Below are 13,621 nucleotides of genomic sequence, written 5' to 3' on the forward strand. Positions count from 1 at the left end.
TGCTCCTGTTACTCCTGGTTTGGGACTCAATTTCACTTCAGGAGGGGAGTGGTGGAGTATATGGTTCCTGCTTAGGCTTTAGGAGCCAGGGACTTCCCTATTTCACCTGTGGTTCCTGTGTGAGCATCCCCTAGGGAACATGCTGGAAGGATTCTAACTCGACTACATTTCTTCTGCCAGTGTTGTTGGCAGGCCAACTGAGAGTCTTTTCCAAATTGCCTGCCAATTTTTTTCCCTCAATTTTAGATAATTTTATTCTTTCTGAAACCTGACAAACTAAATCTAGGCTAGAAAGTTCCGGGGAAGGCCCAGGGCTCGGGATCCATGTTAACCAGCTGAGGGTTCACAAGGAAAACACAGGAGAAGATAATACTGTAGAGTCATGCACAGTTGAACAATGAGGATATGTTCTGAGAACATGTGCTGCTGTTGTCCTTGTGTGAATGCAGAGTGGACTTAGATGGACCTAGACGGCATAGCCTACCACACTCTCAGGCTATATGCTAGAGCCCATCGCTCCTAGGCTACAGATCTGCACAGCACGTGACTGTCCTGAATACTGTAGGCAATTGTAACACCGTGGGAAGTATTTGTGTATCTAACCTATCTAAACATAGAAAAGGCACAGTAAAGACACTTTTTATTTTTTTTTTTTTTGAGAAGGAGTCTCACTCCCTCGCCAGGCTGGAGTGCAGTGGCGCAATCTCGGCTCACTGCAACCTCCGCCTCCTGGGTTCAAGTGAGTCCCCTGCCTCAGCCTCCCGAGTAGCTGGGATCACAGGTGCCCACCACGACACCTGGCTAATTTTTTTGTATTTTAGTAGAGACTGGGTTTCACCATGTTGGCCAGGATAGTCTCAATCTCCTGATCTCGAAAACACATTATTATAATCTTATGGGACCACCGTCCTACAGGCAATTCATCCGTGACCTAAATGTAGTTGTATTGCATGTGTGACTGTATTAAGATCTTTTAATTCAGGGCTTTTAAATATTTTCAAAAGAACTTTTAACTTCCTAAGGGAAGCTTCAGATTTCAATAGTTCTTCACACAAAAAGATCTCACTTTCTGAGGAGAGAAAAAGTCCAGCTTTTCCATGAATATATCATGGGTTTGCTTCACTCTCAGCATGGCCACTGTTTGCTTTTCTTCTTTACTGGACTAATTGCCCTGGTGTTCCTGCTTTGGTTAAAAGTGAAACATAAAGAACTTATTATTAATCAGGTAAATGGGAGTATGACATTGAAAACATTCAATGTCAAAAGACCTAACATAAAAAGGAGGTTTTAGGTGATTGAAACAGGGAAGAGGACAGTATAAGACTCACACCGATGAGTAGTATTTTACAATTTATAAATAAAAAATATAAAAGCAATACATAGCATGGAATATTATTCAGTCTTACATAGGTAGGAAATCCTGTCATATAGTACAACATGGATAAACCTTGAGGACATAAAAAAAAAATAAAAATAAAAATTAATCAGTCTCAAAAAGGCAAATCCTGTATGATTCTACTTATATGAGGTAACTAAAGTAGTCAAATTCGTAGACACAGAAAGTGGAATGGTGATTGCCAGGGGCTGGGCAAGGGGAAATAAATGGGGAGTTGTTATTTAATGGGTACAGAGTTTCAGTTTTGCAAGATGAAGATTTCTGGAGATCTGTTGCACCACAATGTGAAGGTACTTAACACTATTGAACTGTACACTCAAAGAAAGTAAGGATGGTTACTTTTATGTGTTTTTTAATTACAATTAAAAATAAAAATTATATATATAAATACATATGCAAAACAAACACTTCATACAACTCACTAACAAAACAAACATCCCCATCAAAAATGGGCAAGGAAATTGAATGGACCTTTCTCCAAACAGGATATGCAAGTGGCCCATCAATACATGAAAAGATGTTCAACATCACTAATCATTAGGGCAACGCAAATCAAAACCACAGTGAGATACCGCTTCACACCTGTTAGGATGGTTATTATTGAAAGAAACAGAAAGTGAGTGTTGGCAAAGATGTGGAGAAATTGGAACCCTTGAACGCACTCACTGTGGAAAATGGCTTGGTGGTTGTTAAAAAAATTAAACACAGAATTACCGTATGATCCAGCAATCCCACTATGGGTATATACTGCAAAAAATAGAAACTAGGGACTCAAACAGATATTGGTACACCCATGCTCATGGCAGCATTATTTACAGTAGCCAAAAAGTGAAGCAACCCAAGTGCCCTAAGAAGAATGAATGGATACAAAATGTGATGTACATATAGAATAGAATATTATTTAGCCTTAAAAAGCCAGGAAATTCTGACACATCCTACGACATGGATGAACCTCAAAGACATTGTGCAAAGTGAAATAAGCCAGTCACAAAAACACAAATATTGTATAATTTAATTTACATGAGGTACCTAGAGAAATCAAATTCATAGAGTCAGAAAGTAGAATAGTGGTTACCATGGCCTGGGGGAGAGGGAATGGGAAGTCAGTGTTTAAGGGGTGCAGAGTTTCCACTTGGGAAGACGAACAGGTTCTGGAGATGGATGGTGGTGACGGTTGTACAACAATGTGAAATACTTAATGCCACTAAACTGTACACTTAAAAAGTGGTTAAGGCCGAGGGCAGTGGCTCATGCCTGTAATCCCAGCACTTTGAGAGGCTGAGGTGGTTGGATCACCTAAGGTCGGGAGTTTGAGACCAGCCTGACCAACATGGAGAAACCCGTCTCTACTAAAAATACAATAATAATAATAATAATAATAATAATAACGATAATTAGCCAGGTGTGGTGGTGCATGCCTGTAATCCCAGCTCTTTGGGAGGCTGAGGAAGGAGAATCGCTTGAACCCGGGAGGCAGAGGTTGCACTGCACTCCAGCCTGGGCAACAAGAGCAAAACTCTGTCTCAAAAAAAAGTGGTTAAAAGGGTGAATTTTATGTTATACATATTACCATAATAACAAATGCATTAAGGAAAATATAGAGAATAGAAAAAATGAAATAAACATCACCCATAATTCTCAGCACCCTAGCTTACCACTGCTATGTTTTCTTCTGGTGTTCTCTGTTCCCTGCATATTTTTATATAGTATTAATTTTCTTCATGTTACTGGGCAGTCTTTGTAATTTTTAAATCTATACCTATGTCAAGAGAAAATTACTCTGTTCATTTCTTTTTGATTTGGAAAATAATTTGAGGTTAAATTATTTGTACTTATAACTTTGTATTTATGACTTTTTACATTATTTTCTTAGGAGAATGTCCTGTAATGAAATCATGGAGTTAAAGGCATGAATCTATTTTTAGCATTTAATATACAAGACAAATTGATTTTCAAAAACTCTGTATTAAATTATAACGTTATCAGCAAGTTATAAAGGTACTATTCTCATCATGCCCTCATCAAAGATTAGGTCATATCATTTTTTAAATCTGTTAATTTAATAGAAAAAATATATCTCATGATTTAGATTTGCATTTCTCTTAGATTACAGGTAAGGTTAAATTGTTAACAGGTTTCAATACGATTCTTTAGTAGCTATACAATCTCTTTAAAAAATTGTCTTGACAGAATTTCTGCTGATTTGTTAATAGCTTTGATTGATTCTTCTCATTTTATTTATTTATTTTTATTCATTTTTAAGACAGAGTCTCACTCTGTCGCCCAGGCTAGAGTGCAGTGGTGCCATCTCGGCTCACTGCAACCTCTGCCTCCCAGGCTCAAGCAATTCTGCCTCAGGCTCCCAAGTAGCTGGGACCACAGGCATGTGCCACCACTCCCAGCTAATTTTTGTATTTTTAGTAGAGACGGGGTTTTCCCATGTTGCCCAGGCTGGTATCGAACTCCTGAGCTCCAGTGATCTGCCTGCCTTGGCCTCTCAAAGTGCTGGGATTACAGGTGTGAGTCACTTTGCCCGGCCTTATTATTTTTAAACTGTACTAAAATGCTGAAATGTCAGTTAATGAATTATGTTTATTCTGTGTTTTTTTTTTTTTTTTTTTTGCTGAGTACAGGGGACTTTATTGATGTACACAATGAGGTAGGGCTCCCCTAGGTCTCACCCTCTTCAGGGGGTCTGCATGGAAACTGTGAGGAGGGGAGAGTCTCAGTGTTGTGGAGGACTGAGTGCGGCAGGGACTCCCCCTCTCTCTTCCTCTTGTGCTCTCGCTGGGGCTGGTGTCCAGCTAGCTGCTGCCTTTGGAGGCCATGTGGACCATAAGGTCTACTACCCTGTTGCTGTAGCCAAATTCATTCTCATACCAGGAAATAAGCTTGACAAAGTGGTTGTTGAGGGCAATGCCCACCCCAGCTTTGAAGGTGGAAGAGTGGGTGATGCTGTTAAAGTCAGAGGCGACAACCTGGTGCTCAGTGTAGCCCAGGATGCCCTCAAGGGTCCCCTCTGATGCCTGCTTCACCACCTTCCTGATGTCATCATATCTGGCAGGTCAGGTCCATGACCAACACGTTGGTGGTGGAGACAAGGAAGGCCATGCCAGTAAGCTTTCTATTCAGCTCCAGGATGACTTTGCCTACAGCCTTGGTAGCACCAGTAGATGCAGGGATGATGTTCTGGAGAGCCCCGTGGCTGTCATGCCAGTTTCTTGGAGGGGCCATCCACAGTTTTCTGGGTGGCAGTAATGGCGTGGACCATGGCCATGAGTCCTTCCACGATTCCAAAGTTGTCATGGATGACCTTGGCTGGTGGGGGGCAAAGCCCTTGGTGGCACAGGAGGCGTTGCCGATGATCTTGAGGCTGTTTTCATACTTCTCATCGTTCATGCCCATCAGCAGAGGGGGCAGAGGTGATGACCCTTTTGGTACCCCCTGCAAGTGAGCCTCAGCCTTCTCCATGGTCATGAAGACACCAGTGGACTCCACAACGTACTCAGTGCCAGCATCATCTCATTTAATTTTCGTGGGATCTCGCCTTGGATGATGAGTGATGCAGTTTCCATTGATGACAAGCTTCCCATTCTCAGTCTTGACAGTGCTGTGGAATTAGCCATGGGTGGAATCATACTGGGACATGCAGACCATGTCGTTGAGGTCAATGAACGGGTAACCGATGGTGACAATATCCACTTTACCAGAGTGAAAAGCAGTTCCGGTGACCAGGTGCCCAACACGACCAAGTTCGTTTACTCTGGCCTTCACCTTCACCATGGTGTCTCAGGGACATGGCTGGTTCTGCATAAGAATATGTAGCTGTCTGTCAAATGGGAGGAGCAGAGAGCCTGATTCTTACTTTTATGGTTTCTTCTATTGTTCCAAAGCTCTTCCCACTCTAGAACTTTCGAAGGCGATTCAATTTTCCCCCTAGTTTTTTTATGGGTTGACGTTGCACACTTAACTTCTTCCACTTGGAATTTACTATGTTGTATAGGACAGATCTTGATGGACAGAGGCAGAGGAGGGGGAACAGTATTAGTGAGGTTTTAGAGGAAGAATTAAATGAAGAGTACGTGGAAAGTGTACGTAGGTAAATCCACCTCTCTGGTGAAATGACCACATTGAGTAATAAAGACATACCTATCTGTCCATCAACAGATAAATGAATAAATAAAATGTGGTATATATAAACAATGGAACACTACAAAGCCATAAAAAGAAGAAAATGCTGTCATTTGCACAACATGGATGAACTTGGATGACATTATGCTAAATGAAATAAGCCACGCACAGAAAAACCACTATGGTCATGCACCACATAATAATGTTTCGGTCAACCACAGACTGCATTGCATGTACAGTGGCAGTCCCATAAGACTATAGAGCCCTATTTTTACCATTTTTTTTCTATGTTTAGATGCACAAATATTTACCGTGGTGTTACACCTGCCTACAGTCTTCAGCACAGTACCATGTGTACAGGTTTGCAGCCTAGTAGCAATGTGCTATACCATATAGTCTAGTTGTGGGGTAGGCTGTACCATCTAGGGTTGCACTCTATAATGTTCACTCAGTGTTTTCGCCTAATGATGCATTTCTCAGAATGTACTCCCATGATTGACACATGACTGTACTGTATTAACTCACGTGGATTTTTGAAAAGCGTATCTCTTAGAAAGAAAAAGTAGAAATTTGGTTATCTGAGGTGAGGCTAGAGAGGAGACGAAGAGATAGGGAAAGAAAAGATGTTGGTAAAAGTGTACAAAGTTTCAGTTGGACTATTACACTGCAACTGTTATCCTGCATGGTAACCACAGTTAAGCATAATGTTTATTTCAATATTGCTAAAATACATTTTTAATGTTCTTACCACAAAAAATGATAAATTGGGAGATGACAGGTATGTTAATTAGCTTGACTGAATCCTTCTATGATGTATACATAGATCAAAACATCACACTGTACCCCACAAATACACACAATTATTATTTGTCAATTAAAAGTAAAAATATAGCTGGGCGCGGTGGCTCACGCCTGTAATCCCAGCACTTTGGGAAGCCGAGGCAGGTGGATCACTTGAGGTCAGGAGTTCGAGACCAGCCTGGCCAACATGGTGAAACTCCATCTCTACTAAAAATACAAAAATTAGCCAGGCGTGGTGGCAGGCACCTGTAATCCCAGCTACTTGGGAGGTTGAGACAGGAGAATTGCTTTTACGTGGGAGGTGGTTGTTACAGTAAGCCAAGATAGTGCCATTGCGCTCCAGCCTGAGTGACAAAGCGAGACTTCATCTCAAAAAATAAATAAATAAATAAACAAAAAAAGTAAAAAGTAAAAAACAAAAAAGATAATGGGAGATAGAGATGGTGAGGAAGGAGAAGAGGAGAGGCTGCAGGGGTCTGATCTCAGGCATCGCGGCCTATCTGGAGGCAGAACCTACGGCCTCAAGTGAGTCTTGGCTGGGTGGAGGCGGCAGGACCTGGGAGGAGCAGCCCAGTTCCAAACTGGAGCATAGAGGAAGACGGCTCTGCCACAGGAGAGACACCAGACTTTGCAGCTGCACTTGATGAGCAGGAGCAGAAAGTGCTTACGGCATTATAATAATTTGTGTCCAAAATGAAGTGGGATATTCATCTTTACCCATAGTAATTTTGTTCAATGTGATTTAAATGTGTTTGCAAAAGGAAGGGCATCTCCTAATTCCTAGCTGAATACCAGAGCTTTGCTTAGATGTACAGGTGTTTCTGCCACATAGCTTTCCTACTCCTTTCCGGAAAGGAAAAAAACCAAAACGCTCAGCAATTTTCACTGCACTGTTCTCTCTCTAGGGTCCCGATAGTTTGTCCATATGCTTATTACTGACCATTTTTGCAGGTCGCTTTTTACAAATTTATTTATTTTTTGAATTGAAAAATAAATATTGTATATATTTGTGGTATACAACATGATGTTTTGAAACATGCATACACGTATCATATATTCATATACATATATCAAGCTAATTAACATATCTATTACCTTATAGATTTGCCATTTATTTGCGGTGAGAATACTTAAAATTCTACTCTTGTAGCAATTTTCAAGTATACAATGCATCTTTATTAACTATAGTCACCATCTTGTTCAATAGATCTCTTGGACTTATGCCCTAAGGTCACTTTTTAAAGACAAGATCTAGTTCTTTTTCATATAGATTCTCATTTTTAAAGAATGCATGGTTAGCAAATACATTGGAAAGAGTGGAACTTCAAAATGCGAGAGAATTTAAAAAGTAGGATTGTTTGTCTCCAAAGACCTGTATTTTCATACGGGCAGAATGCCGGATATTTGCCCCCATCAGACGAAAGGGTATTTTATTGATGAGAACACTCAGTTTTCCTCTGCACTTGCTCCACTGTCACCTTTTGTGATTTGATTCAAAGCTAGCAAGGAAAAGGACACACTTCAGCACAACTCAGCACAGGGAGAAGTGACTAAAGATTTGTGTGCCCACACGTGAAGTAGGAGTATCTTCTGATGCTGCACTCTTGAGGCTTCCGTCCTCATCCCGACCCATGAGGATTCAGACCTGGCGGAGACCACAGCTCCTGCTAGGGCCATACATGTAGGAGGCAGGGCTGTGAGGTGAGGGAGTTAAAAGGTTGCAAAAAGATTTAAGGATCTTAGAGGGAGGGAAGGAAGAGCAGAGTTTCTGGGGAATGTTCTCTGCCCAAGGCAAAGGGATGGCAGGTGATGCCCCAGAAGGCTCTATAACTAAGAACAGGGCACTGGGGACAATCAAGAGAAAGAGTAGACTAGGTGAGAAAAACTCTCACTAAATCTCCAATGCCCTTCAGATTCTGCATGGCTTGGGACAAAATGCTTGAGATTGAAATAAAGGACTGATTGACTATTTTCAGGGTGTCCCAGGATGGCCTGAACTGGATAATAGAGAATTTATGGTATACTGTACCATCTATATGTATATGAAATATAGTGATGGATTCTCTTTCACAGGAATTTCCTCAATCATCCTAATCTAGTGATTCTTCCCTCCTCTGATCTCCTACAACACATACTTTTCATTGCTAATGTCTTATGACAACTCTTCTGTAGTTATCTTGACTACTTTTTATATTATATTATTGGTTACTATTTAACTTTCTTTTCCTGATGGGTAAAAGTAAAATGCATTTTCTAATAAAAAATAATGCACAGAGAGCATATCTGGTCAGAAATAATAGGAAGAAGAAAAAAAGAGGCTCTTGGGGCAGATAAAATAAAATAAAAGATCTTCATGGAATGGAAACACTTCTGAAACTTCTCCAGTTTGTAGTCTTTTGAAAGAAAAAAATCAGAAAATCCTAAGGCAAAGCATACAGGATCTTAACCATTTTTCACTGTGATTTTCACCTTGCTTTTCAGGATGCAGGTTTTGTTGTCATTAAAATGTTTATCTCTAAAAGTCACACTGTCTCCACGTCATGTACATATCTCAGCTACTTCGGCACACTTATACATGGACGTGTGCCTTCTTCAGATCACCTTTGACTCAATACACACACTTGTGCTCCATGACACGGAAGTGACAAGATACAATGTGAATGATTAACTTTGCAATTAATATTTTCTATATTATTTTCTATAATATAGAAAATGCATTTGCTTTTGGAGCAGGACAGACAGACTTGTGATTTGGTGCTGGTAATTAACTTCTCTGAACATCAATGGGGGTACCTCTCAGAGACGTGGTGAGGTTTCCATGGGATAGCCTGTGATCAGTTCTTATTATCTACATGCCTGACACATGGTAAGCCCTTAAGACATTCATTCCATTTATAGCCCTTCTTCTCCTCATCATTAAGTCTTTTCTCTCCAGCTGGTTTGGAAGCTCAGTGATGGCAAGAAGCCCATTTTGTACTGGTTGGTATATTCTACAACATTCTAGCACCGTGAGTCGCAGACTTAGGTAATTAATAATTACTTACAAATTTGAATTGAGAATGTGATGGAATGGTGGAAAATCAAAACATGAACCATCATTGCTTAGATATCTTATGAAATTTGTTTTGAATTTTTTTCTTAAGTGTCATTTTCTATAATTACTAAAACCTTCATATGATGATTAAAGAGTAAAGTGGTTTCACTATTGCTTGTATCTGAGGAATTATAATAACATATCAGGAACAAAGGTTCCCAAAAAACTTGCTTATAGAAAATATTAGATGCATACTTATTAGAGGGTTCTTTTGGGTGGTTCTTCAGAGTCAAAGGAATATAGAAAATATTTATTTTTTAGATTTATTTTTCCTTATTTGAAATTTCAAAGCAAAATTATATGCACATTTTTTCTTATTCATTAATTTAGTATTTGTAAGAATGTAAGGGTTATCCATCAGGAAAAAGAAAAAGGTACCTTGAATTAATAATGATAATTATAGTGATTGCCATTACTTAATTATGCCAGGTACTTATATAATCTCAAAACAGTGCTATAAGGACAAATTTATTTGTATGTTCTAACAGGACCCTAAATTCAACATTCCCCAAATAAAGCTCATTTGCCTGATGTACTCACTATGTGTCAGTATCTGCTTTTAACAGAGGAAGCAGCTGAACCTCCAAGGATCTGTGGCTTGCCAGCTCACACTAGTTGTTGGGGGTGCCAAGAATCTATTTTCCATGAAGTAATGTACAAAATGAGCCATCTCAAGTACCACCGCTACTTGAGACATCATTAGGTTAAAAAAATGCTTTATGTTCTCTATCAAAACTGAATGCAAGATTAAACCTGTAAAAGAACAAACTGAACAAAGAATGATTAATACCATAATGTAAGATTATGGCATTCCTCATACCCCACCCTCCTTCCAAGAACAAACAAATCTAAATTACCCCCGTTTAAAAAAGACTCTCCTATTATGAAAGAAGCACTTGTAAAACTTGCCAGAATGGGAAAATAAATCATCAGCCCATTCTAACGTCTACCGCATTGTTTAAAGAGATAACAGAATCAGCAGGACCATTGCAGCTAGGCAAGTTCTTAGACAACACCCCTATAATGACTGAGTTACCACTGAAATGCTCCCCGGGAACATGAAACTGCAACTTGTGGTAGAGGTTTCTTTCCCAACAAAAAACAGGCACAGAGAGCCTATCTGGTCAGAAATAATGGGAAGAAGAAAAAAAGAGGCTCTTGGGGACAGATAAAAGAAAATAAAAGATCCTCACGGAATGGAAAAGCTTCTGAAACTTCTCCAATTTGCAGTCTTTTGAAAGAGAAAAAAATAATCAGAAAATCCTAAGACAAAGCACACAGGATCTTAATCATTTTTCTTAATCTGCCTACACCTTGATCTCGGACTTCAGCCTCCAGAACTGTCAGGACATCAATTTCTGTTGTTTCAGCTGCCAGTTTGTGGTCCCTTCTCATGGTGACCTAAGAAAACCAAAATCCCTTGTGAGGGCAGGTCCCTTCAGTGGTCTCCCCTGACTCAGGATGGCTTCAGTCTCTACAATGTCTCAGAGGTCATATCACCTCAATTACCCCAAGTCTGCCCTGTGCTAGATCATTCAAATGGAAATCCCAAGTCTGCACTGACTAAGTCTCAGTTGCACATTTTTGGCTGCCTTGAGACTGCTTCACTTGTCTGTTCTGACAGCACTCTAAGCTCCAGGTGTCTAAAATAATTCCTCCTCTGATGAGACTGATGTACTCCTCTCACATTCACCCTGTCACCCAGGCTGGCGACTCTAAAGCCATCTTTAATGTTCTTTCCCAATGCTTCTCACAGCCAAGCAGTCATCCCCTTTCCTTGCCATTCCTTCATTTTCACTTCTTTGGCATTTTCTCTGCCTCGACCTTGGTTGAGGCCTATTTATGTTAGGCCAGTCCACAATCAACTCCTAATTGAATCCCCTGCCCCTAGTCCTACCTTGTTGCATGCATGTCTCACCAGCCCAGGTTCATCTTTCCCCTGTTAATCCATCTCGGTGTTTGGGTCTTTATTTTGCCCACAGAGCTCAGCCGGTTCTGAAGGCCCTGGCATATTTGATTCCTGACCAATCTTCACCATTGTCCCCTGCCTGTGTCCTCCATTCAGACAGGTTTATTGACCCATCCCAACCATGCCTTGTATTCACTCAGTGAGGAGCTATGTCTTATTTCCACCCTCATTGTTTTTGTTAAAGCCATTGTCCCTTCTTGGAAATCACTTGCATTTATCTAATCCTAACCCATTCTTTAAAGGTAATTTCACATCTCATGACTGTGTGAACCCTTATTCAAAGATACCAGCCACATGCATCTGCCTCCTTGAGTTCCTCTAACATATCCTGATCCCCTTTCTACCTTGATTAGCAAGAACCTCTGAGCCACATGTGATCCCCAGTGTCATACTGTCTCCCTCTCTTCCTGATGTGATTTATGTTATTGCTTTCAGTTTCATTTTAAAGTCTTTTTGTAAAACATACTTTTTCAACAAGAGGACTCAAATGCTCCAGGCCTGGCTCATACTAAGCTCTGAAAAAATATTGGCTATTAAGTTACAAGCAAATAAAAAGTTAAGCTAATTACAGCTCATGGCACTCCTGTGGTTGTCAATTTTGAATCTCACTTTTCATTATTAGCTATATTTTTTGGGCAGATGATATAACTTTCTGATCAGACTTTACTTCTTAAAGCCTGGGCCTTCGACTTACTTTTTTTTTTTTTTTAACATAGAACAAAATAAATACTCTATAAGTGTTCTCTGTTCAATGAAGAGATATATACTTCCTAGGAAGACTAACATATGTTTTAATAGATGCATTGATAAACCTGAAGGACGGGCTTACTGTTCAGTAGTGCTTTGTTCATAAATGTAGAAACATCTGCTTTGGGGTTATAGGGAAACTTCTTTCTTTTAAATTTGTACAGGCTTGAAAAATAGTTGTGCTCTATAAATACCCCAGTATGAGTCATTTGCTTAACTAAACAGCTGCTTACTCATTAGCCAAATGCACTTCATTTTAAGGCATACACTTAAATGAATTTTCTCCCATGCCTCTCTCCCTCCCCCAAGAGCCAGAAAAGTGATGTGCAAATACTTTTCTGGAATACAAAAGAGATACAGATCTGCCTTTGACATGGGGAATCTAAACTCCATGATGTAGCGGAAAGTCATCCTAGCGCAAATTCATAAGCTGTCTGTATATGCTTTGCTTGTTCTTATAACAACACAGTCCTTCATTTTCTATTCCCATCTCTCCCCACACACCTCTGGAACATCCTCCCTCTTCCCATTCAAATCCAACATACCAATTCTCCCACTGGGGCACCCGGCAGGGCTTTGTTCTTTTTTTTCCTTCTGTCACCATCGCCCGTTTCTTATGCAGGTGGATAGTCTGCGTCAAGACTGCTGGTAGAAGCCATTTATTTTAATAAGTGTAAGCAAATGACAAGTATTCTTACAAATCCTTTTGTTAAGATGGAAACACAGATCAACTTCTACAATTAGTGGCATTCAGCTATCATTTTCTATCCTTCAACTTATTTTGAACGATAAATACAAAGCAACCACTCGCATCTTTTTAAAATTTTATTTTGATTTAACTTTTTTTTTTTTTTAAAGATGGGGTCTTGCCATGTTGCTCAGGCTGGTCTCGAACTTCTGGCCTCAAGCAATCTTCTAGCCTCAGTCTTCCAAATATGTGGGATTCCAAGTGTGTACTACCATGCTCGGCTTCATGCTTTTATTTTCTTTAAAAATGGTCAATATCACCATGAGTTCCTTCTTTTGGAAGCCAGTAAATGTCTAAATGTTTTGGAAGAGTCCAGAGGAGAACTTTGATTTCTAGAAAGACCAAATGAGAAGGAACAGATACAGTCTCCAGAGTTCCAATTATAGTGTAGCTATTCTCAGCAGGATTCCAATCCAACGTGGATTTTTTTCTAGCCTGCGGAGGACATCTTCAAACGCCCAGGGCTGACATTTAGCTGTTACCCATCTGGTATGATTGTACCTTGTTAAAATCACTTTTATACCAGTTGGTAATTACCTATTGTCCTGAGCTCCCCGGATACTGGACCCTTCAATGGTGACACCCTGCCTCCCACAAAAATGTCCTATGATTTAGCAACTGAAAAGTTAATGCTCGACACAGGACGAGGCTCTGACTACGCAGAGCCATTTTGATTGGACACTGGTTTAATAACTTGACTATCACCCTGCAAATAGCGCTCGTTTCCAGGTATGT

General features: G+C 40.1%; 1 protein-coding gene, 1 long non-coding RNA gene and 1 pseudogene across 12 annotated transcripts in view; 1 reads left to right on the forward strand and 2 right to left on the reverse strand.

Annotated features, from left to right (window-relative positions):
* Nucleotides 1-13,621, reverse strand: part of DLGAP1 (DLG associated protein 1) — a 959,276-nt gene that overhangs the window by 477,405 nt on the left and 468,250 nt on the right. The window lies entirely within an intron of this gene.
* The window catches only part of DLGAP1-AS4 (DLGAP1 antisense RNA 4), a 51,591-nt gene that overhangs the window by 11,084 nt on the left and 26,886 nt on the right, over nucleotides 1-13,621 (forward strand). The window lies entirely within an intron of this gene.
* On the reverse strand, nucleotides 4,021-5,250 carry GAPDHP66 (glyceraldehyde-3-phosphate dehydrogenase pseudogene 66; annotated as a pseudogene).

This window comes from Homo sapiens, chromosome 18, assembly GCF_000001405.40.
Source record: "Homo sapiens chromosome 18, GRCh38.p14 Primary Assembly".
Classification (NCBI taxonomy): Eukaryota; Metazoa; Chordata; class Mammalia; order Primates; family Hominidae; genus Homo; species Homo sapiens.